The sequence below is a fragment of the Homo sapiens genome, chromosome 20, assembly GCF_000001405.40.
Source record: "Homo sapiens chromosome 20, GRCh38.p14 Primary Assembly".
Lineage (NCBI taxonomy): Eukaryota > Metazoa > Chordata > Mammalia > Primates > Hominidae > Homo > Homo sapiens.
The window spans coordinates 32,982,209-33,005,634 of NC_000020.11; the positions used below are offsets into that span (position 1 = coordinate 32,982,209).

The 23,426-nt window shown below is 49.5% G+C and overlaps 1 protein-coding gene across 5 annotated transcripts, besides 2 other annotated features; it reads right to left on the reverse strand.

The window, feature by feature from the left end:
- Positions 1,567-22,225, reverse strand: SUN5 (Sad1 and UNC84 domain containing 5). 5 transcript variants are annotated; one of them, XM_011528573.2, is made up of 14 exons: positions 22,056-22,225; positions 20,653-20,711; positions 20,379-20,453; positions 20,053-20,121; positions 19,004-19,070; positions 17,866-17,927; positions 15,430-15,479; positions 14,116-14,150; positions 13,411-13,519; positions 7,412-7,490; positions 5,452-5,567; positions 3,528-3,695; positions 2,891-2,977; positions 1,567-1,741 (listed from the first exon to the last, which is right to left on the reverse strand). In XM_011528573.2, exons 1-14 carry the CDS (start codon positions 22,130-22,132, stop codon positions 1,586-1,588), a joined length of 1,209 nt encoding a protein of 402 aa, XP_011526875.1. In that variant the 5' UTR covers positions 22,133-22,225; the 3' UTR covers positions 1,567-1,585. The 5 variants fall into 5 exon arrangements, with proteins under 5 accessions (XP_011526875.1, NP_542406.2, XP_011526876.1 ...); NM_080675.4 differs by lacking the exon at positions 20,053-20,121; XM_011528574.2 differs by lacking the exons at positions 20,053-20,121; positions 20,379-20,453.
- Positions 18,504-19,004: an enhancer, noted in NCBI's record as "H3K4me1 hESC enhancer chr20:31588518-31589018 (GRCh37/hg19 assembly coordinates)". NCBI's record gives its function as "activates a minimal SCP1, AML or CMV promoter by ChIP-STARR-seq in primed H9 embryonic stem cells {active_cell/tissue: H9 hESC(primed)}" and the evidence as "EXISTENCE:reporter gene assay evidence [ECO:0000049][PMID:30033119]".
- Positions 19,005-19,505: an enhancer, noted in NCBI's record as "H3K4me1 hESC enhancer chr20:31589019-31589519 (GRCh37/hg19 assembly coordinates)". NCBI's record gives its function as "activates a minimal SCP1, AML or CMV promoter by ChIP-STARR-seq in primed H9 embryonic stem cells {active_cell/tissue: H9 hESC(primed)}" and the evidence as "EXISTENCE:reporter gene assay evidence [ECO:0000049][PMID:30033119]".

The window sequence follows — 23,426 nt, forward strand, 5'->3', positions numbered from 1 at the left end:
ACTTGGAACTGGGGATGTCCTTCCCAACAATGCACACAACTTAGATGCCATAAAGAAAAACATTGAGGTGATAATATTTTCAAGAAAATCTGTTGAACAAAAGACACTTAAAGACAAATGATTGGGAAAAAACACAGAACAGCTGGAGGAGTGAGCCTGGGAGGGGCATGTGGGGGTGGGGGAAGTGGGGTTTTTCAATGGATTCGCTTTTTAGCAAACCTCAGTTTGATTTGGCTTTTTAATAACAAGAATGGTTTACAGAAAAACTACCCTAATGATGCCAGGCTGGACGTGTATGGCTTCCAGGTGCCCTGATTGCTTGGAGGAGCAGGGAGCAGCAGGGATGTGAGGCGACCCCTTGAAGCCCATTCCACTGTGAGGCCCATCAGAGATGGGCCTGGGTCAGGTGCTGGAGGAACCCTGGGTGCTGGCGTGGAGGCCTGGCAAATGGCCAGAATGGCGGATTCTGCAGCAGGGATATGAGGCGACCCCTTGAAGCCCATTCCACTGTGAGGCCCATCAGAGATGGGCCTGGGCCAGGTGCTGGAGGAACCCCGGGTGCTGGCGTGGAGGCCTGGCAGATGGCCAGAATGGCGGATTCTGCAGCAGGACGGGCTGGTACAGGGTGCCCTCCCTGGAGACAAGCATATTTCCGATCTGTCCACCCTTCTAATGCCCAGCTGGCCCTGTGCCAGAGTCTTCACTTCCCTGCCCTTGCCTGCTAGGAATTCCCTCCCTCGAAGGCTCCAGTTCCTGCTGCCATTCCAGCTGGGCCAGCCTGCCCTATTCTGGAGCTCAGCCCCTCCCAGAGGACTAGGCCTCCTATCACTTGCCTGGGGCCAGAGGTTGACAATAACCTTGAGGGTCATTTACCCAGCACCTATCATGTGTCATGCTCTGTGCTGAGAGCTTTGTGCACACAGCTCCTGTAGGTTCCAGGAATAGGCACTGTTTTTAGCACCTCTATAAGCTCTCAAGACAATGCTAGAGCAGGATGGACCTCAGCTATGGCAAAGATTACACAGACAAAATATGAGTGACTGAAGTTTGGGAAACAATACTTACATACCTGGAAAAACTGAAGTCCAGAGAGGGTGTCTGACATGCCCAATGTCACACAGTAAATTGTCAGTATGACGTTGAAACACTCCATAGTGGGTAGGGTTGGGACCTCTCATCTATCACCTTGTCTGACACAATAGTCATAATCCTGTCCCTATTTTATGGCTGGGAAGACCAAGGCTCCTAGAGGGTAGGGTCTTGACCGATGTCACACGTAGTTTGGGGACAGAGCTTAACTTGAAGCAAGAAAGGCTTCTCATGTGCAACAGTCAGACTGCTTGGGTTTGAATCCTGGAGCTGCCATTTGTTGTCTGTCATCTGCAGCAAGTCAGTTTGCTGCTTGGAGCCTTCACTGTCCCCATCCGTGAATGGGGTCTCCTGGGGCTGCTGAGAAGGTGCCTGGGCACCCGGAATGGGATCAACCATTGCTAACCATCAAATGCTCAGATGTGAAAGGCTAGCCTACTCCCTCTCTTTGGGGCCAAAAGACACTCAGACTTGGTCTGGGGGTAAAGAATAAATTTTAATCTCTCTTAGGGTAGGGGTTCTGGTGAGGCTGCTCTCTGGGCGGGGCCACAGAGCCATGCACTCGCACGCGGTACAGGCAAGTGAAGCCTGGGTTCCCCCAGTTGCTTGAGATCTTCACCTTGACCGCACTGAAAGCCCGGGCCGGCTGGTTCTGGAAGAGAATCAGTCACAGAGGCAGCTCACCCATAGACTCCCACCCTGCCTTTCCAAAGGTGGGGAGTGGAAGGGAAGTTTCCCATTTCATAGGTGGGAAAACTAAGGCCCAGACAGGAGGATGGACTGTCCCAAGGCCTCACAGCAAGTCGATATTCAGGAGCTCTTACTGAAGATGCTGAGGCCAGAAGGACAGACATGCTGTGGGTAAGGAAATGTCCTGGCCTTAATGCTGTGGGATCTTGGGCAAACCTCCACCCTTTCTGGGCCTCAGTCTCCCACTCCTGCCCTGCCCCGCCCGTAAGATGGGAATGGTAATATCTGCTTCCCAGGATTGCGGTGGGCATGAAATGAGATTTTGGGAACAGGCGGCCTCTAGAAGAGAATCATTCACAGAGGCAGCTCATCCACAGACTCCCGGCACATAGTAAGTTCTCTGTAAGTGAGGCCCCTCCCCGTTTTTGCCAAGCAAGAGGGGGTGGAGCCTGTGTTTATTACTCTCCCTATCTAGTGTAAAAAGTGGGGCGGGCTTGGCCTTCACTGAATGTTTTCAACCTCCCAGGGAATGACAGAAGGGGAAAACTGAGGCTCCAGAGAAGCAGGGCTTGGCCCAAGCTCACACATAATTTGTGGTTGGGCAGAAATTCGGGCCAGTATGGGTTTGATTCCCAAGCCTGAACCTTCACCCTGTCAAGCCCCAGGGCCATTCCAGTGGTCACTCCTCCGGACCTGCTTCTGTCTCCAAACCCCTCTCCTTCAGGCCTCAGTTTCCCCACCTGTGGTTGGATCCAGTGATAATTATGGGGCCACCCACTACGGAGACTCTACCTTTGGAGCCAGCAGCCCCTGCCCAATGGGAACCTCTTGCTCAGCGTCTGCTGTCCCCGGGAAGAAACACAGCAAGAGGGCTCCTGGGCTCATCAGGAAAAAGGGGACATGGCCACAGGCGGTGGGATCTCCCTGGAGTCCCATTTGGCCCTGGGTAGCGGCTCCTACTCTCTGAGCCTCAGTTTCCTTGCCTGTCAAACAGGTTAGTCATGACTGGGCACCTCCTGGGGATACTGGGGGATGAAGAGGGGGTCCCTGGGTACAGACTGCACACTGTGCATTCAGCAGGTGCTCAGCACAGGCAGCTCTTCGCAGGTACCTGGAGTGGGAACATCTGGATGATGTTTTCTGGCTGAAACTGAAATGCCCCCAGGAACACCTCCTCCTTGGGGGAGCCCTCCATGCCCTGTGGAACCAGAACCAAGGTGAAGGCGTCAGATACAAGCAGGGCCCTCAGAGGGTGTCTCCCCTCTCCAGTGGAGACTTGCACACTCCCCAGGATGGGAGCTCACTACCTCTTTGGGCACCGTTTCACTGTGGCACAGTGTAATGAATAGGAAAGAGCACTGGCCTGGGAGTCAGAGCCTGGGGGTCTATGACTAGCTCTGCCATTGACTTGTAGGATTAGGGTGTTTCCCTGATCCTTCTCTGGACCTTATTTCACCGAGACAGTTCAGATAACGCTTCGGACCTTCTTAGCAAAATGGGGGCTCCATGGTCTCTGAAGATTATCTCGGCTCTGAAAAGCTTGGTTTAAAATAGAGTAGCTGTTTATCCCCTACCCTTGAAGGCTGAAATTGGACCCCAGCGCTGGCCACTTCCAGCCTTAACCAAGCTGCATTCAGCCCCTCCAGCCTGCAAGTGTTGTGCAGACACTGTTTACCCCAGGCCTGGAATATCACCATTGGAAGGTTGTCCCTTTAGCTAAGCATAGCTCCCTGCAGGGGAGTGCTCACATAGATGACGAAGTCCTTGGGGGCGGTGTCCAGGCTGCCTGACAATGAGATGGTCTTGGGGATGTGCTGCAGCGTGAGGTTGGACAGGTAAACCTTCTGAGCCAATTGGATGGTCACCTGGCCGCGGTCACCCTCAAAGGCCCAGCAATTGCCAGGTGTCACGTTGGGCTAGAAGAGGCAAGTACAATAAGGGATATGCTGGGTGGGTAGGGGGATCATCCCACCTTTGATCCCCTGTACTTCCTGGGACCTCCTGGGTGAGCCAGTCCTTTCTTGTCTCCAAAGCTTGGCTCAAGTGCCACCCCCTCCAGGAAGCTCTCCTGACTACCCATGCAGGGGGTAAGCCTTACTTCAGTTCAATGCAGTAAGGGAGGGGCCTGCTTGGGACCTCCCAGCCTCCACCCGCTCCCCACTGGCACCCATTCATTCATTCATTTACTCACTCACTCATTCATTCATTCACTCATTCATCCCTCCCATTATTCTTTACATGGTCTTACAATCACCCCATGACTTAGGCATCATCACTATCCCCGTTTTGAAGGTGAGGAAACTGAGTTGGGGGAGCAGGACAATGACTGGTCCAGGGCCATGCAGAGCTGGAAGTGCAGCCCAGGGAATCTGACCTTGGAACTTGCCATTAAGCACCACGATCTCCTGCCCCACAGACGGGGAAACAGGCCCAGGGAGAGAAAGAGGTTTGATGGAAATCACCCAGGAAAGGCGATTACTCGGTCGGTTCTGAGCTTCTGGAGCCATGGCATGGACAGTCCTTATTTGAACAGTGGATGCTAGCCCAGGGGTGCAGGGGGCTGTGGGTGTCAGGGAAGGCCTCCTGAGGAGCTGGGGCCAGGGGAGATGAGGAGCCAGCTGGGAAAGGGAGCTAAGGGAACAGCACGGGAAAGGACCAGGGGCGAGCCAGGCTTGATGATGTGAGGACCTGGAGAGCTCAGTCAGGCTGGAGCTGGGAGAGGGCCCAGGAGGGGCAGAGTCTTGGCTGGGCTGCTTTTCACTACTGCTCCAAACCTGACTGCAGCCAGCGCTTTGCAACCCAGCCACTGCCCGCCGCGTCCCCCGCCCCAGCCTGGATGTGTGCACCACCCCCCACTCCCGGGCCCTGTGCTTGGCCTGTGCCCCTGCGTTCTATCTGCCTGCGGATCTGCTAGTCCTCGGCTGCGGCCACCAGGAAGCCCCTTGCCCCGTCCAAGCTGAGCAAGGCCAATGCCCCAGCTTGACCTCGAGTGCCAAGATCTTGGAGCTCCTTAAGGTAGAACCCACGGATGAGTGGCCTGTGACCTTTTGGCATCACCCAGGGTGTGCCACTGGGATGACACTCTCAGCCAGTGTTCACTGAATGAAGGCACCTGCTTTGTGACCAGGACAAGCCCTTTCCTTCTCTGGGCCTCATTTTCCTCATCTGTGAGGCAGGATCCTGGAGGGCTGAAGAGCTCAGGTTTGAACTCTGGCTCTGCTACATACTAGTGACCAGCTCTGTGGCCACAGTCAAGTGACCTGGCTCTTTGAGCCTCAGTTTCCTTTTCTGCAAAATGGGTCTATGATGGGCCCATGCCCAGTGTAGTCCTGAGGTTTCTCTGACCCTCAAATCTTAAGGGCTGAGTGGTGGGGTCCCTCCCAATGCCAAAGCAAGCTGTCCCTCTGTTTCGCTCCTACCCTAGCCCCAGCAGCCCCTGCTGTCTGTTCTCACCTCCTGCCCCCGCCTTCTCCCCAGCCCCCGCCTTGTCAGTAGCCCCCTCCTTCTGCTCCCTGCCTTTGCCCCTGCATCTGTCTCCTGCTCCTACCTCTAACCCCGCCCCTGCCCCCACTCCCTTTGCTCCCACCCCCTACCTCTTCTGCCAGCTCCTGTCCCCAAACCCTGCCCGGACCACTCCCCTGCCGCTGTCCCATCTCCCGCCATCCCCCCTGCCTCAAGGATCACGTCTGGGGGCTGTGCGTAGTTCCACAGCTGGATCCAGTTCCAGTAGGAGTGGGCCTTCTCATGGTTATAGGTGACTGACGTGTGCTCAAAGTCAATGCTGGCCCCTGTATAGGAGAAGGGGGTCTCAGCCAAGCAGCCGGGCTTCTGCCTGGTGGAGGGGACGCCACTGATGGGCCCTGACTATGTGCCGGGCGAGCATTTTGGATGAGTCACTGGCCCTGTTCTCCTCTAGGAAATGTGATTACAGCCATGTTAATAATGGTAATCATGGTGGCTATTATTTTTTATTTTATCTTATATTTTTTGAGATGGAGTCTTGCTCAGTCCCCAGGCTGGATTGCAGTGGCGCGATCTTGGCTCACGGCAACCTCTGCCTCCCAGGTTAAAGCAATTCTCATGGTGGCTATTATTAGCAGAGCCATGGTGGTGGCAACGGCCCCCACGTCATAGGGCTGCTGTGGCGCTGAGATGAATCATCAGAGCACGTTTCCCAAAGTGCCTGGCACAGGGTAAGCGCTCCCCACGTAACAGTCTTGTGATGACGACCGACACCCATTGTGCAGAGGAGGAAATTCCAGCTCTGAGAGGCTAAGTGAGGCCCAGTGTCACTCAGGGGCTGGGCTGACACTATCTGACCCCGCGTCTCACTGATCCTGGGGGTGCCCGAGTTGGAGGTGCTGCCTGGTAGGGGTTTGCGTTGGGGGCAGCCTGCGGCCCATACTTTGCCTCCTCCCAGCTGTCCCTGAATGGCTCTCACCGGCCTCCTCACAGCCTCCCTTTGTCTGGAGTACTTTCTCTCCTCACCAAGTCTCAGCCCAAACGTTCTCCTGAGAGGGAGGCCTCTCTGCCCAGGTCCCCTCCCTCCTCGCCACCTGCCTTATTCTTCCGGAAGCACTGATTATTATTTTATTTATTTATTTATTTATTTATTTATTGAGACAGAGTCTGGCTCTGTTGCCCAGGCTGGAGTGCAGTGGCGCGATCCTGGCTCACCGCAACCTCCGTCCCCCAGGTTCAAACGATTCTCCTGCCTCAGCCTCCCGAGTAGCTGGGATTATAGGTGCCCACAACCACGCCCAGCTAACTTTTGTATTTTTAGTAGAGATGGGGTTTTACCATGTTGGCCAGGCTGGTTTTGAACTTCTGACCTCAGGTGATCCGCCTTCCTCGGCCTCCCAAAGTGCTGGGATTATAGGTGTGAGCCACCAAGCCCAGCCCTGAAGCACTGATTCTTTTTTTTATTATTATTATTTTACTTTTTTTATTTTTTGTGAGAAGCAGTCTCTCTCTGTCGCCCAGGCTGGAGTGCTGTGGCGCGATCTAGGCTCACTGCAAGCTCTGCCTCCCGGGTTTACCCCATTCTCCTACCTCAGCCTCCCGAGTAGCTGGGACTACAGGCGCCCACCACCACGCTCAGCTAATTTTTTGTATTTTTAGTAGAGACGGGGTTTCACCGTGTTAGCCAGGATGGTCTCGATCTCCTGACCTCGTGATCTGCCCGCCTTGGCCTCCCAAAGTGCTGGGATTACAGGCGTGAGCCACCACACCTGGCCGAAGCACTGATTCTTGACTGCGGGTTGGAGATGGCTCTGTCTTGCTGACCTGTGTGCCCAGCATCGGGTTTGGAGAAGAGTGGTGGGTGGGGGTGGTGGAGAGGTAAAGCCAAGAACAGCCTAAGCACATAGTAGGGTCTTTATAGATCTTCTATAATGTTGAGGGCCTGTGGATTCCCGTGTTCCCTCCCACCCCACCCCACCCCTACCCCCATACCCCACCCCGTCCCAGAACCCCTTGAGAGAAAACAAAATTGTAGCAAGAAAACCAGCTTGGAACAGAGGATGAACTTCCCAGCGGCAGAGGGAGTACCACACCAGAACTGAAACCCACCCTGTGTACAGCTTCCCAGGACACTTGAGGCAGTCAGATGGTGGGGAAGGGGGTCACCTACCTATAGACTTCAGGGCAAAGTCTGGCTTTTCGATGTAATCTCCGTGTATCATCTTCATTATTTTCTGGGCCATTTTTTGCTGAAAAGGCAGAAAACACAAGTTGTGCCCTGGTGTGTTGTCACGGACTGTGATCCCCACGTGTCCACGGGAGGTAACAGGGGGCTGCAGGACGCTGTCCTCTCCCTAACAGCCCACCCCTGCCTGTGGAAGCCTGTGGCTCTGTGAAAGCCCAGGTGACACAAAGCCATCCTGACCCCACCCTGGGTTCACTGGGTGCTTTCAAGTCCACTGTGACCAGATGTCATATGGAGGTCCCGGAGTCTCAGTGAGGTTCAGGCAGGGGCTCTGACGTCAGGCCAACTTTTACTGTTGTGGGGCCTTGGGCAACTTACTGCCCCTCTGAGTCTCGATATTCTCACCTGTAAGACGGGGACAATAATCGTGTCTACCTCCCACTGTGGATCTGTAAAGCCCCTACTATGTGCCAGGGCTATCCTCGGCTTCACATATGCTCACCCTATCCCCTCCCAGCACCCCTAAGAAGTATGCACTATTATCATCCTTGTATTAAAGATGAGAATACTGAGGCACAAAGGTGTAGCTTGTTCAAGATCACCCAGCTGGTATGAGGCAGAGCGATCACTGTGGTTCCAGAGTTCAGGCCCTTAACCGCTCCACTCTGCTGCCAGATGCGGATGGCAAAGCACTTAGCACAGTAGGTGCACAATAAATACCAGCTGTTCTTTTTATTAGACTCTTCACAGTGGTGGAAGATTCTGTTTTCCAAAAATGGCTGCAACAAGGTCTCCCATTCCAGGCTCTTCTTTCAGTGTGACCTCCCACTGAGAGTTGGGGTCTAAGCTCCCTTCCCACCAGTCTGGGCTAATGACTTGGCAGAAGTGATGCTGTGTGACATCTAGGGCTAAGTCCTAAAAAATGATACAGCACTGCCTGGTTCTCTGGGGACAGCCACTCCTGGAGGCCAGCTGCCATGTTGAGAGGAAGCCCAGGCCACACGGAGAGGCCACAGATGGGTGCTTTGATCAACAGCCGTAACTGAGTCCCAGTTGATAGCCAGCATCAATCTCCAGTCACGTGAGTGAATCCAGATGATTCCAGCCCCAGATGTAGAGTCACCTCCAGCCTTCAAGTCTTCCCAGCTGAGGCCCCAGATACCATGGAACACAGACAAGCCATCTCCACTGTGTCCTGTCTGAATTCCTAACCCACAGAATCTCTGAGCACAAGTGGTTGTTTCACACCCCTAAGTTTTGGGATGGTTTGCTATGTGGCAATGGTAACTAGAACAATAGCCAGGGTGTTACAAGGCAGTGATTATGATTCTGTCTTGTTGATGTGCAAACTGGAGGCTCAGAGAGGTTGATGACCTGCCTGAGGTTACACAGCTCCAAAAGGCAAAAAAATCCCCAACTCCTCCCCTCGTTTACTGGGGACAATAATCTCACCTATTACTTTTCAAAACTGGGTCGCCAACCCTAAGGAATTTCCCTGATGGCCCCCACCCTTTCTCTGCCCCAAGGCTGAGTGCAGTCTTCTTCTCTGGGATCCACAGGTGCTGGGACTGGCTTGAGGGCAAGGACGAGCTCTAGTTGATCCCCGATCCTGGATCCCCAGCACGCAGTAGGCACTTAATGATTGCACATTGATGAGTGCATGCCTTTGGATTCTGCCTTTGTTTAAATGCAACACACATTTAGGGAGCACTCACCATAGGACAGACATTAGTCTAAGTTTACATGAATTACCATGTTTAATCCTTACAACTCATCTTCTAGATGAAGAAACTGAGGCACAAAGACGGTAAGTAAATTGACCAGAGTCACACAGCTTATAGGTGGTGGGGATGAAATTCAAAGCCTAGCAGCCTGACTCTAGAGCCAGTCCTTATAATCACTATACCTTACTGCCTTTGTAAGTCATAGCGGGGCTTCCCTCCCCACTGCAGAGGAAACACCTGCCAAGAGCCTCACTTGACAGTGAGTGACTGACACGGTCTCTCCTCCTGGGTCTGTCTGAACAGAGCTTAGAGGGGAGATTCAGGGGCACTGGAGACCTAGGACTTTGGGACAATAAAAGATAAAGATGAGTTTTAGCAAATTTTGCTGAATCTTGCACAATGGAATTTATCTTTGTGAACTCTTTTAAAAATTCAACTTCTAGGTAAAGTTGATGGATCGAAGACATCACGTAATTTTAGTTTCTCCCAACACTCCATTACAGCTTCAGTAAAGGGATTTGAAAAGACCCAAACCCATATGAACAGGAAGCACAGGAGAGGAGAAAACCAGGCTGCTGCGTATGGTTGTGCACGTTGCGCACAGCAGAAAGGTTCCCAGTTGAGGGGCCCTGTGTGGGTGCTGAAACCCAGCTCTTCCCCTGTTCTTTGATTTGGAGGAAGGTGCATTTTGCGAATTCATCTGCCCAGCACAGATAGTTTTTTCCAGTCTGCAAAAAGGCACAATGTGTCCCAGCAGTGGCCCTGGAGACAGCAGCAATATTCTGGAAGTTGTCCTACACCTTGTAGGATGTTTAGCAGCATCCTTGGCTACCCACTAGATGCCAGTAGCGTCTCCTCCTCACATTGTAACAACCAAATATATCTCCAGACATTGCTGGATGTTCCCCAGGGGGCAAAATAATCCCCAATTGAGAACCACTGATTTAGCAGAAATGAGAAATCTGAATCCGAAACTGGCCATCCTCAAAAAGCTCAGGATTGGTGGCCTTAGGTGCCCCTGAAATTGGGGTAGAGAATTGGGTGTTAAGACAGTTAAGAGGAATCTGCATATTCCCTGGGGACTCCCTCTCACTCTGAGAAGCTGAGTGGACTTCTCTGTTCCCCAGTAGAAGACTAGAAGTTATTCTCTGGAGAGGGTAAAACAGAAGGGCTCTGTTGGGACAGGTGAAGGTTTCTTAAATAGGATACCCAAAGCACTGCACAAAAAAACATAGATACACTGGACTTAATTAAAATTAGACATTTTTGTTCATCACCATTGAGAGTGAAAAGCCACGCTATAGCCTGGGAGGAGATATTTGCAATATGTACATCCAATAAAATATGTTTACCCAGAACACAGAAGAACTCCGACATATCAATAAGAAATGGCACTCTCCCCCAAAAGGCAACAGACAAAATCCAAATGGCCGCTGGATACAAGAAAAGACACTCCACATTATTAACAACCAGAAATGCAAATTAAAGCCATAGTGAGATACCACTTCTCACCCTGCAGAATAAAGTAAAAAAGACATATGACACCAATTGCTGGTGAGAATGTGGGACAACTGGAATTTGCATATATTTTTCATGGGAGCGTAAATTGAAAAACTATTTGGCAGCATCTAATAACATGAACACACTCATACCTCATGATCCAGCAATTCCACTCCTAGTTATATCTACCGCCAAGATCAATAAGTATATATGTTCACCCAATGATATGAAAAAAATTATAATTGTTCAGGAGCAGACATTCAAACAACAGGAGCTTCAAAAATAAGAATAGAGCAAATGCTGCTGTGGGAAATCACCAATTTAGTCACATGAATAAATAACATTTCTTAGGCCCAAAGGCCAGGAGTTTCCAGATTGACGGATTCCAAAGGGTGGCCAGCCCATAGGCACATCTGTGGAAGCAACAAGGACCAGATGAACTAAAATTCTGCAGAGCAGAAAACCATTCTGAGATGTGCTGGCATTTTTTGTCCGTTTGTTTTAAATCTCTGGGGGTATTTGACGATTCTAGGCATAGGCTAAGGATCTGGGCTTAGGCCAGACAATGGGCTGCTGCTACTGGTGAAAGAGAAGGAAGCAAAGTTCTTAATGGTGACAAAGAGCTAAAGTAACAAAACTGGGGACTTGAGGAGCCTCAAATATGGCCACTTTTCTTCACAAGGTATTAACTGAATTTCAAGACTATAGGAGGCTATAGGCCACTTCAAACATTTCTGAAAAGCAGAATAAAACTTCATATCTTCACAGTGCTTAGGAAACGAAGTCCCTTTGAGGGAGGGCACCGCAAAACACAACAAGCAAGAGATCAAGGCCTTAGAACAGTGATTCTCTCTGGTATATGTCAGAACCACCTGGAAGGCTTGCTGGAACACAGATGATTGGTTTGCATCTTCAGAGCCTCTGATTCAGAAGGTCTGAGTGAGGCCTATTAATTCGAATTGTTAACATTTTCCCAGGTGATACTGATGATGCAGGCACGTGGGCCGTGGGCCGTACTTTGAGATCCATTACCCTAGAAGGGGTGGTGATGAGTCAATACTGTGCTTCAGCTGCACTTCACCTGGGGGCACTAAATCAATCCTGGGCACAATTAGAACCCAGGAATCCAAGTTTGCTCCTGGCGGAGAAGGCTGCCACCAGGCCCAGAGATTTTTGCGTTCATGCAGGGGTGAGAGACACATTTGGAGACTTGTGAGGCCTCAAACATACAGTAAGTCTGCCACTAAGACAGTTGTCAAATTTTTGAAGCTGCATGGGAAGGAGTCTAAAGAGTTAAGCTTAAAACCTCTGGATAAATTTTTTTAAAATTGTGATCCAGGTCTGTCTGAACTAGCTTAGTGCATGTCTAGATAGAAGTGACCAGTCTATTTCATCCTCCTTATAAAGAAAAGGGGAACTTTCTCTAGTGGAATTATAATTATTTGGAACAGCTACAGTTCTTTTGTATACAATGTTGAGAAACCACTAAAAGTTACTAGACTTGAAGAGGCAAGACCATATCATTGATACCCAAGATAAAAAGCAGAAAACAGAGGGAGGCCACAGATGATCCAGACATTGGAGTTAGCAGACAAGGATTTTTAAAATAACTGTTGCTAATGTGTTAATTAAAATAAAGGAAAAGATGGACAACATAGGTGAAATGTTGGGGAATTTCACCACAGAATTAAAGTCTGTGAAAAAAATCAAATGTATATCCTAGAACTAAACAATGCAGTATCTGAAATTAAGAACTAAGGCTGGATGCAGTGGCTCACGTCTGTAATCTTAGCACTTTAGGAGGCTGAGGCAGGTGGATCACTTGAGGTCAGGAGTTCAAGACCAGCCAAGTCGACATGGTGAAACCCTGTCTCCACTAAAAATATAAAAATTAGCTGAGCGTGGTAATGTGCACCTGCAATCCCAGCTACTCAGGTGTAGGATGCACTTGAACCCAGGAGGCAGAGGTTGCAGTGAGCTGCCTGGGCGACAGAGGGAGACTCCATTAAAAAAACAAAAAGAACTAAATGCATGGATTTAATAATAAATTGGAGAGACAGAATGATGCAAGATTATTAGTAAACCTGAAGAAAGGTTAATAGGAAAATATCAAAACATAAGCACATAACAGAAAAAGAATGAAAAAACAAACCAGGTAATAGCGTAGGAATCACATAAAGCACTCTAAAGGCTTTCAAAGCATAGGCCTAGCATAGGTGTAATTAGAATCCAAGGAAAGGAGACAGATAATGGAAAGAAGAAATATTTTAAGAGATAAAAGGTAAAAGTTTCCCAAAACTATTGAAAAATATCAACCCACAGATTTAATAAGCTCGGCAAACCACAAACCAGGTTATATGAGGAACATTAGAGACAAAAAGATTTTTCTACAAGCTCCCAGGGATAAAAAATAGATCATACTCAAAGGATCAATAATAAGAGTGCCATTAGACTTCTCATTAGCAACAGTATAAACTATAATAGAGTGGTGGGCTTCCTTCAACATTCTCAGGAGAAACTATTTCATATTTAGAATTCTGTACCCAGCCAAACTATCAACCAAGTACAAGGATAGAAAAAGATGCTTTTAAACATACAAGCACTAAAAATATACTTCTTTCACTGTATTCCTGAAAGTCACTGGGGGATGTGCTCCCTCAAAATGAGAGATAAAACCAAGAAAGAACACTTGAGGTATAGGAAACAGGACATCAAACAAAGAGAAATTAGATGTTTGGGGCAGAATGGCCAGCGTCTCACCTCATCGGACATGGCTTCCATCTCCTGGAGCTTGGCAATGAGCTGGTTCATGCTACCTCGGAGGTCCTGGATTTCCCCACTGTGATGTCGCACCTTCTCCTGGTACAACCTTATCAGGAAGGAGTGATAACAAGAACAGGTTGATTTGTGATGCGTTGTTGTTACCCTCAGATTTTCCCTTTGCTAGTTGGCTCTCAAAGAATGAGTTTCAGATTTTCCTAATCTCTTGGGCCCATCCCTGGACCCATTCATCAGGTTATTATCTCTAAAACATTACTCATTCTCTTCTTTCTGCTTGGAATATCTTTATACCCAGCTCATTCCTTCCAAATATTCCTGAGTATTTTGTCTGCAATTAAGGATGCTGCCATCAGGTGGTGTCTTGGTTAAAATTTCTTCTCAGCTACCATTTGCTGAGCACTGACTATGGGTCAGGAGCTATTCAAGACACTTTGCATCTTCTTTAGCACCCATAATTGCCAAGAGCAAGATGGGTGTTATGCTTCATCTCATAAATGAGGAGTCAAAGGCCCAGAGAGAATAGGTGACTTGCCTAAGGTCAGCCATGTAGAAGGCATGGGAGTTAGGATTTAAACCCAGGTTGATCTGACTGCAGAGCCTATATTTGTAGCCAATACACCCCAGATTCTGGCTATAGCTCTGCTTTTTAGGTAATAATATGGTTACCCAGAAGATTCCTCTTACCTCAAGCTCTGCAGTGGACCATTTATGCTGTCATCCTGGTGGAGTATTGAGAAAGTAAGGGGTCTCCTTCAGATGGCTTAATCTGGCCCCAGGAGAACTTCATCCATCTATTCTCCCACAATTATAAACCCATACATTCATCCACTTTCCTGTTGACTCTTCCACCCGTCTACCCACCTATCATTTCTCCAAACTCTAATTTACTGCCCTTTTTATTCATCCTTCCAGACTTTTATCCATCCATCCACACCTTCATCCATCCACCCTTATACCCACCCACCCTCCCTTATCCATCTGTTCTTCCAACTCCCCAACTTCCCCCATCTATTTACACTCCAATCCATATACCCTAACCCATCTACCCACTCTTTCATTCATCCATCTATCCACCAACCCACCCACCCACTCATCTATCCCATCTGCTCTTGCATCCACCCATCATTTCATCCACCCATTCACCTATTCATGTATTCACCTAGCCTCCTATCTCTTTCCCCTAGTCCTACATCCATCAAATCCAACCTTCCATCTGTCCATCCTCCCATCCATTCTCTCTCCATGCACACTCCCATCTGGCCATCCAGTCATCCAACATGGATAGTGGCAACCCTGTTGCTGGCACCAAACTAAACATTGCTGGGGTGAATAGGACCTGGCTCCTTCCTTCAAGAAGCTGCCAGTACAGTTGGAGAGACAGTCATGACCACAGAAAATTATCGGAGGAAAGAGGAATGTGACAACTTCTGCCTGGGTGTTTCTAGAGGAGGTGATATTTTAGCCGGACCTTGATGGACCTTGATGGATATGAAGGGGTTCATAAGGAGGAAAAGAGGAGAGGGAGGGACAGGCCTTTCAGATTCCCTTTCTGAGGTCCTCTGAGACTTTTTGCAGACCTCATGTAGGGAGTTTCGCTACTTATTTCCTCCTCCTTCCTCCTCAGAAACCTGAAAGCAAATGAGTATCATTGCTGTTAAGCAGAAGGACAAGCTGCCTTAAGTACAGAAATGTGTTCCCTGTTATCACCACCCCACTTTAAGTGGGGCCTTGAGAAAGGAGAGATGGGTCATCTCTGAGAGTCAATACAGGAGAGCCATCTTGGAGGAGGGACTATTGCATCCAATCTTTGAAAGTCACCTCTGGCAGAGAGATGGGTTCTAGGTGGATGGTACGATGAAGGGTGAGATTTGGATCTGGGTCAAGTCAGGAACTGATGAGGGGCCCCATTTGGTGAGAATGAATGGAGCTGTGGAGGTGATATTGACTGGTTAGGGTGAGACCTGTCAGCTGTGGGGCCTGAGGAGGGTGCACACTCACCTGCCAGACTTTCATTTTCGATGGTAAGTGAATAGAAAACATCCAGAATCCTGTGAGGCCATGAGAATAAGAATGAGCCATTTAACATGCAAGATGAAGAGCCTAGGTGCTGGAGTTAGGACATCTGGGTTCAAATCCCAGCTATGCCACTTGCCAGCATTGTGCAACACTGGGGGAATTACTTAATGCTCTATGCCTCTGTTCCCTCCTCTGTAAAATAAGAATAACAATAATATCCACTTCATGATCAGATGATATCAAATGTGTAATACATGGCACATAAACCAAGTCATCTGTGGCTCCCCCTTCCCTGTTCCAACTCTACTGGGGATAACTGGCAAAGAGAAGAAGGCGCTCTGCATTTTATGATCTCCATGCTGGCTGAAAAGCCACCATTCAAGCCATTATTTAAAAGTCTTGGCCAGGTGTGGTGGCTCACGCCCATAATCCCAGCACTTTGGAAGGCTGAGGCAGGCAGATCACTTAAGCCCAGGAGTTCAAGACCAGTCTGGCCAATGTGGTGAAACCCCATCTCTACAAAAAAAAAAAAAAAAAAAAAAAATACAAAAATTAGCCCGGTGTGGTGCACGTCTATAGTCCCAGCTACCCGGAGGCCGAAGTGGGAGGATCACTTGTGCCAGGAAGTCGAGGCTGCAGTGAGCTGTGATCCACTGCACTCCAGCCTGGGCAACAGAGTTGAGACCCTGTCTAAAAAACAAACAGCTTTTACTGAGGCAGCAGAATCGCTTGAACCCGGGAGGCAGAGGTTGCAGTGAGCCGAGATCATGCTGCTGCATTCCAGCCTGGGTGACAGAGACTCTGTCTCAAAAAACCCCAAAAACCAAAAAACAAAAACAGCCTTTAAAATTTATTTATTCTTCTTGATAAAACCCTCAACGAACTAGGAATAGAAGGGAAACTCCTCACCATGATAAAGACCATCCATGAAGAGCTCACAGCTCACATCCTATTTAATGGTGAAAGACTGGGCGCTTTTCCCCTAAGATCAGGGATGAGACAGGGATGCTTCCTCTTGCTAGTTCTATTTAACATGGTACTGGAGGTTCTAGCCAGGCCAGTTAGTCAAGAAAAAGAAGTAGGCCAGGCGTGGTGTCTCACACCTGTAATCCTAGCACTTTGGGAGGCTGAGATACGATGGTTTGAGGCTGGGAGTTCTAGACCAAACCGGGCAACACAACAAGACTCAATCTCTCCAAAAAAAAAAAAATTTAAACAAAAATTAAAAAATTAGCTGGGGGTGATGGTGCACGCTTATAGTCCTAGCTACTCAGGAGGCTGATGTGGGAGGATCACTTGAACTCAGGAGTTTGAGGCTGCAGTGAGCTATGATTGCACCACTGCACTCCAGCCTAAGTGACAGAGACAGACCCTGTCTTAAAAAACAAAAAAGAAGTAAAGGTCGTCCAGATTATCATGCAGAAAAGAGTTAAACTACCACTATTTGCAAATGACATGATCTTGCATTAGAATTCTAAGGGATCCAAGGTTAGGTGTCTTGCCTTGTGTTATAACTAAAAATCGGGTTCAGCAAGGTTGCAGGATACAAGATCAAGGTACAAAAAGTCAGCTGTATTTCTATATACTAGCAATAGATAACCTGAAAACAAAATTAAGAAACCCATTTCTAATAGCGTCACAATAAAGGTGTTATTTAGGCTGGGCACGATGGCTCACGTCTGTAATCCCAGCACTTTGGGAGGCCAAGGTGGGTGGATCATGAGGTCAGGAGTTCAAGACCAGCCTGGCCAAGATGATGAAACCCCATCCCTACTAAAAATACAAAAATTAGCAGGGTGTGGTGGCGCGCGCCTGTAGTCCCAGCTACTCGGGAGACTGAGGCAGAGAATTGCTTGAACCCGGGAGGCGGAGGTTGCAGTGAGCCGAGGTTGCGCCACTGCACTCCAGCTTGGCAACAGAGTGAGACTCTGTCTCAACAACAACAAAGGTGTTATTTATCGAAGTCCTAGTTGTTGGATTTTAAAGTGGGACGGTTCTCTAGGATTCACTGTCTATTTTCCCATGGGGAGCTGATTCTCCCTCCCTACCCCACCCCCAGCCTCCACTCCAAAGCCAGTATATGTCAGTGGAGGGAGGAGATTCCTTTGCTTGGGAAAGCTAAGCTGTGTTGTGCGAGGTGGGGGTGGTGGCTGGAAAGAAGCCATGGAAACCCAGAAAGCGGAAGTAACAATGTTCATAACACGGTTTGGGGAGAGCTTTATAACTTCTGAAGCATTTCTTGGCTTCTACAATATTTTCATGGTCATCATTTCATTTCATAATTCTCACAGCAACACCCATCAGGCAGATGGGGAAACTGAGTCACGTGGCAGTGCAGTGTCTTGCCCAGTGTCCTATAATCAGTGCCAGGGCCCAGGGATACCTCCACCTGGGACTGGGCAGGGCCCTGGGACACACCGAAAGCACAGAGGAGCAGAATGCCTGTCTTCTCCATGAGCTTCTGGCACAGCAGCTTGCATCTGGAAGGCAGGGAGTGGTGGTCAAGATCAGGTGGGCAAGGCCCTGCCAAGTGTTCACCCTCCTCCTCGTCACTCTCTTTCTCCGTAGGCATGCTGTTTGCCCTATCCCTTCTTCTCTCCCTGGTAAACGTGTCCTTCAGGATTCAGCTCAAATGTCCCCTCCTCCAAAGACCTCCACAGGCAATGCTCCCAACCCTGTGAACTTGGCAATGTTTTGGTGCCTGCCTTTCCCACCTGACTGGGAGCTCATGAGTGGCAGGGCTGAGCTAGGCTCAGAATAGATGTTAAGAAAACATTTAAAATTTAAACTTCAAATGAATGAATGAATGAGGTGGATATATCTGCTGGAGTTTGGAAGAATTTCCAAGGACAGCAAAGGAAAAGGGAAGGAAAGAATGGGGCAGGCCCTCCAGGCAGGAAGAACAGCATGTGCTGGGCTGGGTGCGGTGGCTCATGCCTGTAATCCCAGCACTTCGGAAGGCTGAGGTGGGAGGATCACTGGAGTTTGAGACCAGCCTGGGCAACATGGTGAAACTCTGTCTCTACAAAAAATACAAAAATTAGCCAGACGTGGTGGTGTGTGCCTGTAGTCCCAGCTACTTGGGAGGCTGAGGTGGGACGATTGCTTGAATTCGAAAAGTAGAGGCTGCAGTGAGCCGTGATGGCACCACCGCACTCCAGCCCTGGCGGTAGAGTGAAACCCTGTCTAAAAAAAAAAAAAAAAAAAGTTAACAGCACGTGCAAATGTGTGGAGGTGGGAATAGGAATAGGAATGGTGTGCCCAGGGAGTGAGAACCCTGGCCTTGCTGGCCCAATGGGTCCCTGGCAGGAAGCCAAGTGAGAGCAGCTTGGAAAGGAAGGGTGGGACAGGATTCCAGGACACTGCAGGCTGAGGGGCTGGAGCAATGGGGGGCCACAGTGGGTTCTGGGGTGGGAGTGTTTGATAAAAGCCAGGTTTGGGATAGCTTTTCTGGTCTGGCTACCAAGGGGAGATCCAAACTGATGGAGGGGCTGTTATGGTCCCCAGCTGCCATTTCCCACTCCCCATCCACCCTCCCCCTGCCTTCCCTGCTCACCTGCACGTGTTAAACAGAACCTGCTGGGCCTGAGTTCTCAGGGAGCAGGCAAAACAGGTGAACCAGGCTGCACGGGAGACAGAAAAGCAGTGACTCACTACGCCCTCATCTTTGTCCCACTACAAGGACCTGCTGACCTTTCTGGGGCTGGGGGAGGCCCTGGAGCTGGGAGACCCTCTCGACTTGTTGGCCGAGCCTGGGACAGAACCAGGCTCTGCTTATGGGTACGCACTAGCCTGGAGTGAGTACAGGTCACTACAGGTGGGCACTGGTTGCCACTGGCAGTTAACAGACATTTTCTTTCTTTCTTCTTTCTTTCTTTCTTTCTTTCTTTCTTTCTTTCTTTCTTTCTTTTCTTCCTTCCTTCCTTTCTTTCTTTTTTCTTCTTTCTCTCCTTTCTTTCTTTCTTTTTCTTTTCTTTCTTTCTTTTCCTCCCTCCCTCCCTCCCTCCCTCCCTTCCTTCCTTCTTTCCTTTTTGACAGAGTCTCACTCTGTCACCCAGGCTGGAGTGCAGTGGCATGACCTCGGCTCACTGCAACCTCCACCTCCCAAGTTCAAGCGATTCTCTTGCCTCAGCCTCCTGAGTAGCTGGGACTACAAGTGCGTGCCACCACGCCCGGCTAATTTTTGTGGGGTTTCACTGTATTGGCCAGGTTGGTCTCAAACTCCTGACCTCGTGATCTGCCCGCCTTGGCCTCCCAAAGTGCTGGGATTACAGGCATGAGCCACTGCGCTTGGCCAATAAACACTTAATCGTGACTCAGGAGCACAAAAGGCCTGGAATGTAACAATGCCCATTTCTAGACACTGGGAGCTTGGCAAGAGCTGGGGCCTTGTCTGGTTCATCCCAGAATGCCCACTATGGAGCTAGGCAAAAAGTAGGGGACTCAGAATTGACAGGAAGGTGAGAGGACACAGGGGTGGATGGAAGAAGGAAGAAGGGAATGGCTGTCTGGCTTGGAGGTGGATGAATCAGGAGATAGATGAGAGAATGGGAGACTGAAAGGATGGGTGGATGAACAGAAAGAGGGATGACTGGGTGGATGTACCTATGAAATAAGGTCTGGGAGAACTGATGAACTCAACAGGTGGATGGATGGGTGAAACCAGCAGCCAGACTGGTGGTAGAGGAGGGTTGGCAGTTAACTCCTCCTCCAGACAGCAAGCCTCCCTCCCAGTTCCCCTCTCCAGCCACCAAAGACTTTGGCAGGAATGATACCTCCGATGGGTAGAACTCCAGAGTTCAACCTGCAGCTCCCCACCACCCCTGCAGTCCAGGGCAGGCATTGCCACCCCCAGGTCAGCCTGGGCCGAGGCTGGACCCTCTCCCCAGACCCATATTGATGACGAAGGTGATTATTCAGTATATACGTACACACACATCCCAGCATGCACTGAGTCAGGCCTAGGGCTTGGTCATTGTTGCGGACAGGCAACAGGATGTTGTCATCTGCAGAGAGCACAGGACTGTCATGTCACTGCCAGCCTCTTGATTTGGTGCTTGCAGAGACCTAGGGAGCACCCAGAGCTTGGTGCGAACATCCCTGCCCCTGCCCCTTGCTGGGTAGCCCCAGGTTGCCCGTTTGACATCCCTGAGCCTCAGCCCCTCAGCTGCCCATGAAAATACCAGGGCACCTGTCCTTGCTCACTCATGTTTGGGGAGGTGTCCTCTGCCATCCTGCTGGTGTTCCGGCCTCGCTGGGCAATCCTGGGGATGATAAGATTCATAGTCGCATTTTACAATTATGAGGAACATAGTGTCCTTGGAATGTGCATACCACGTTCCAGATTGGGAAACTGAGGTACAGAGAAGGTTTCCCAACACCACCAGCCTGTGATTCAGGGACAGACCCAGGTCTGGCTGACCCCAAATCCAGGTATCCATCAAGGAAAAGACCCAGGTTGCTGTGGCAGTCACAGGCGGTTGTCGCCATGTCCCCGAGGTTGGCAGAAGCTTGGTTTTGTTCCTTTGTCTGCTCCTACCCAATGTGATTTTAGGCCATTTTGATTGGTCGAAGCCTGCTGTCGTGCTCCCATTCCCTGTGCTGTGATTGGTTCAAGGGTGAGGAAGTCTGCAGGGGTGAGGTAGGGTGAGGTAGGGGGGTGGTTACGAGGTAAGGGACTTGGGGGAAAAGTTAGGTTTAGGATTAGCTAAATGAGACCCACAGAAAACGATGCTTATTCTCCTTCCCCTAGACGCCACATTTCTGCGTGACACCTGAAACTGTGGTGGCCATCTTGTGACCATGAGAGGGGGCTAAAAGAGCAGAATGATGACAGGAACCTGGGTCTTGGGTGGCAGAACTGAGGAATTAACACACTCCGGAGCCCCCTGCACCTTGGGACCTCTTGATATGTGAGATTTAAAATTTTCCCTTATTTCTTAAGTCAAAGGTCTTTAAACATTTTTGTTTATACCACCTCAGAGTATTTATATTGGTTTATTAATAAATTATATATACACCCAATTGTACTAATACATTGTTTACCCTTCCCAAATGTACAGATTTATGGTAACATTCCTGAATAATATAAATTAAAAGAGGATGAAAGACATACATTCTAGCCTGGTTATTTCTTTTCTCACCCTTGGGGATTGTTTGGTATACTCTCTTGGGATATACACCCAGATTTGGGTGCCCAGAGATAGGCATCATTTTAAGTTGGAATTTCTGTCACCTGCATTCAGAGGCTTTCTGACAGATAAAGATGGCGAAATACTTGTTTCCTTCTTTCATACCAGTCTCCTGCACTAGACCGTGAGCTCCATGAGGGAACGGAGCACATCAGACTGGTGCCACACCGTGTTCCCCGTCCTCTGTGCATTTCCCGGCACACAGTAGATGCTCAATAAATGCGTGCTGGAAGGATGGCTGCTTCACCACTTCCTGGCTGGGAGACTTTGGGAATACCACTGCCAAACCTCTCTGGTCTTGGTGGCTGTCTCTGTACAGTACAGTTGACAATGCCACTCATCTCCAAGGACAGGGTGGAGGGGCAGCATTTTGTAAACTGTAAAGGGCTGGGCAAAGGGAGGGGCTGCCATCCTCACCTCCGGGGTCTGGGATTGTGGGCCACATCTTCGAGTAGGGCGCCTGGGTCCCCAGGGCTCCTTGAGGACCGTGGCATCGATTTCCTTCTTTAGGATTGGGGATGGAGATGGGAACTCTGGGAGCTGGTGAGGAGGAAGGGGCTGATGCCTCTGAATGTCCCCTGAAAAGTGCCAAGTGGAATCTGCCAGGATCAGTGGAGCAGTTGGCATTGTGACCTCACAGAGCAGGTGGGTGGAGGGGCAGGGGATGGGGCTAGTCTCCAGCTTGGCCCTAGAACCTCCCCCAGAGGAAGCCATTGTGACCCACTTTCCTTTCTTAAGATGGGGAAATTGAGGCATCAAGACAGGAAGGGCCATGCTGGGGTCTCAGAAGCTGGACAGGGGCGAGAGCTGAAGCTCCAGTAACCCAACCATGCTTTTCCTTGTTTCCTAGATCCCTTCCTGCCCCAAGCTTCCCAGGCTTTTCACCTTCTTAGGTTGCACCTGAATGCATTTTGTAATGCTGAGCTTCTCACTGGTGGACATTGTGCATAACACAAAATAACATTGCATGTGTTGTTGCTTTAATAAAGTTCTACTTTTTGTTGGGCCCGGTGGTTGATGCCTGTAATCCTAGTACTTTGAGAGGCAGAAGCGGGTGGATTGCCTGAGCTCAGGAGTTTGAGACCTGTCTGGGCAACATGGCAAAACCCCTTCTCTACTAAAAATACAAAAAATTGGCTGGGTGTGGTGGTGTGTGCCTGTAATCCCAGCTACTCGGGAGGCCGAGGCTTGAGAATTGCTTGACTCGGGAGGCGGCAGAGGTTGCCGTGAGCAGAAATCGCGCCATTGCACCCAGCCTGGGCAACAGAGTGAGACTCTATGTCCAAAAATAAAGTTCTACTTTTTTACTGGGGAAAATAAAAGCATAACCGAGTGGAAATGTCGGGCTAAGTTTTTTCTGTTCACCCTGCCTGTAGGGAGCTTGACTATTTGGATAGCAAAGCTAAAATGAATTCACTTTTGCCCCCTGGTGGCAGTTGCTTAAAATTGCAGGCTAATTACCAATGGGAAGTGGTACGATGGTCCCTCAAAGAGGCCCACACACTAAAACCTGAACATGTAAATATGTTAAGTCACAAGGCAAAAGGGAGTTAAAACTAGAAGAGCAATTTAAGTTGCTAATCAGTCGATCTTGAGATGGGAAGAATACCCTAGATTACCCATGTGGGTGCAATGTAATGACAAGGGTCCTTAAAAATGGAAGAGGGAGGCAGGGAGATGGCAGCACAAGAAGCACTCAGCCCAACATGCTGGCTTTGAAGATGGAGGAAGGGACCAGGAGCCAAGGAATAAGGGCAGCTTCTAGAAGCTGGAAAAGGCAGGTGGACA

Bases quoted from the DNA above. Each gene is read 5' to 3' on its own strand.
- SUN5 (XM_011528573.2), bottom strand. From the start codon at position 22,132: ATGCCACGGTCCTCAAGGAGCCCTGGGGACCCAGGCGCCCTACTCGAA. The intron at 20,122-20,378 runs GTACGTATATAC...CTCTACCACCAG, and splicing joins GTGCATGCTGGGATGTGTGT to TCTGGCTGCTGGTTTCACCC. The intron at 15,480-17,865 runs GTGTGTCCCAGG...ATGGCCTCACAG, and splicing joins TCTGCTCCTCTGTGCTTTCG to GATTCTGGATGTTTTCTATT.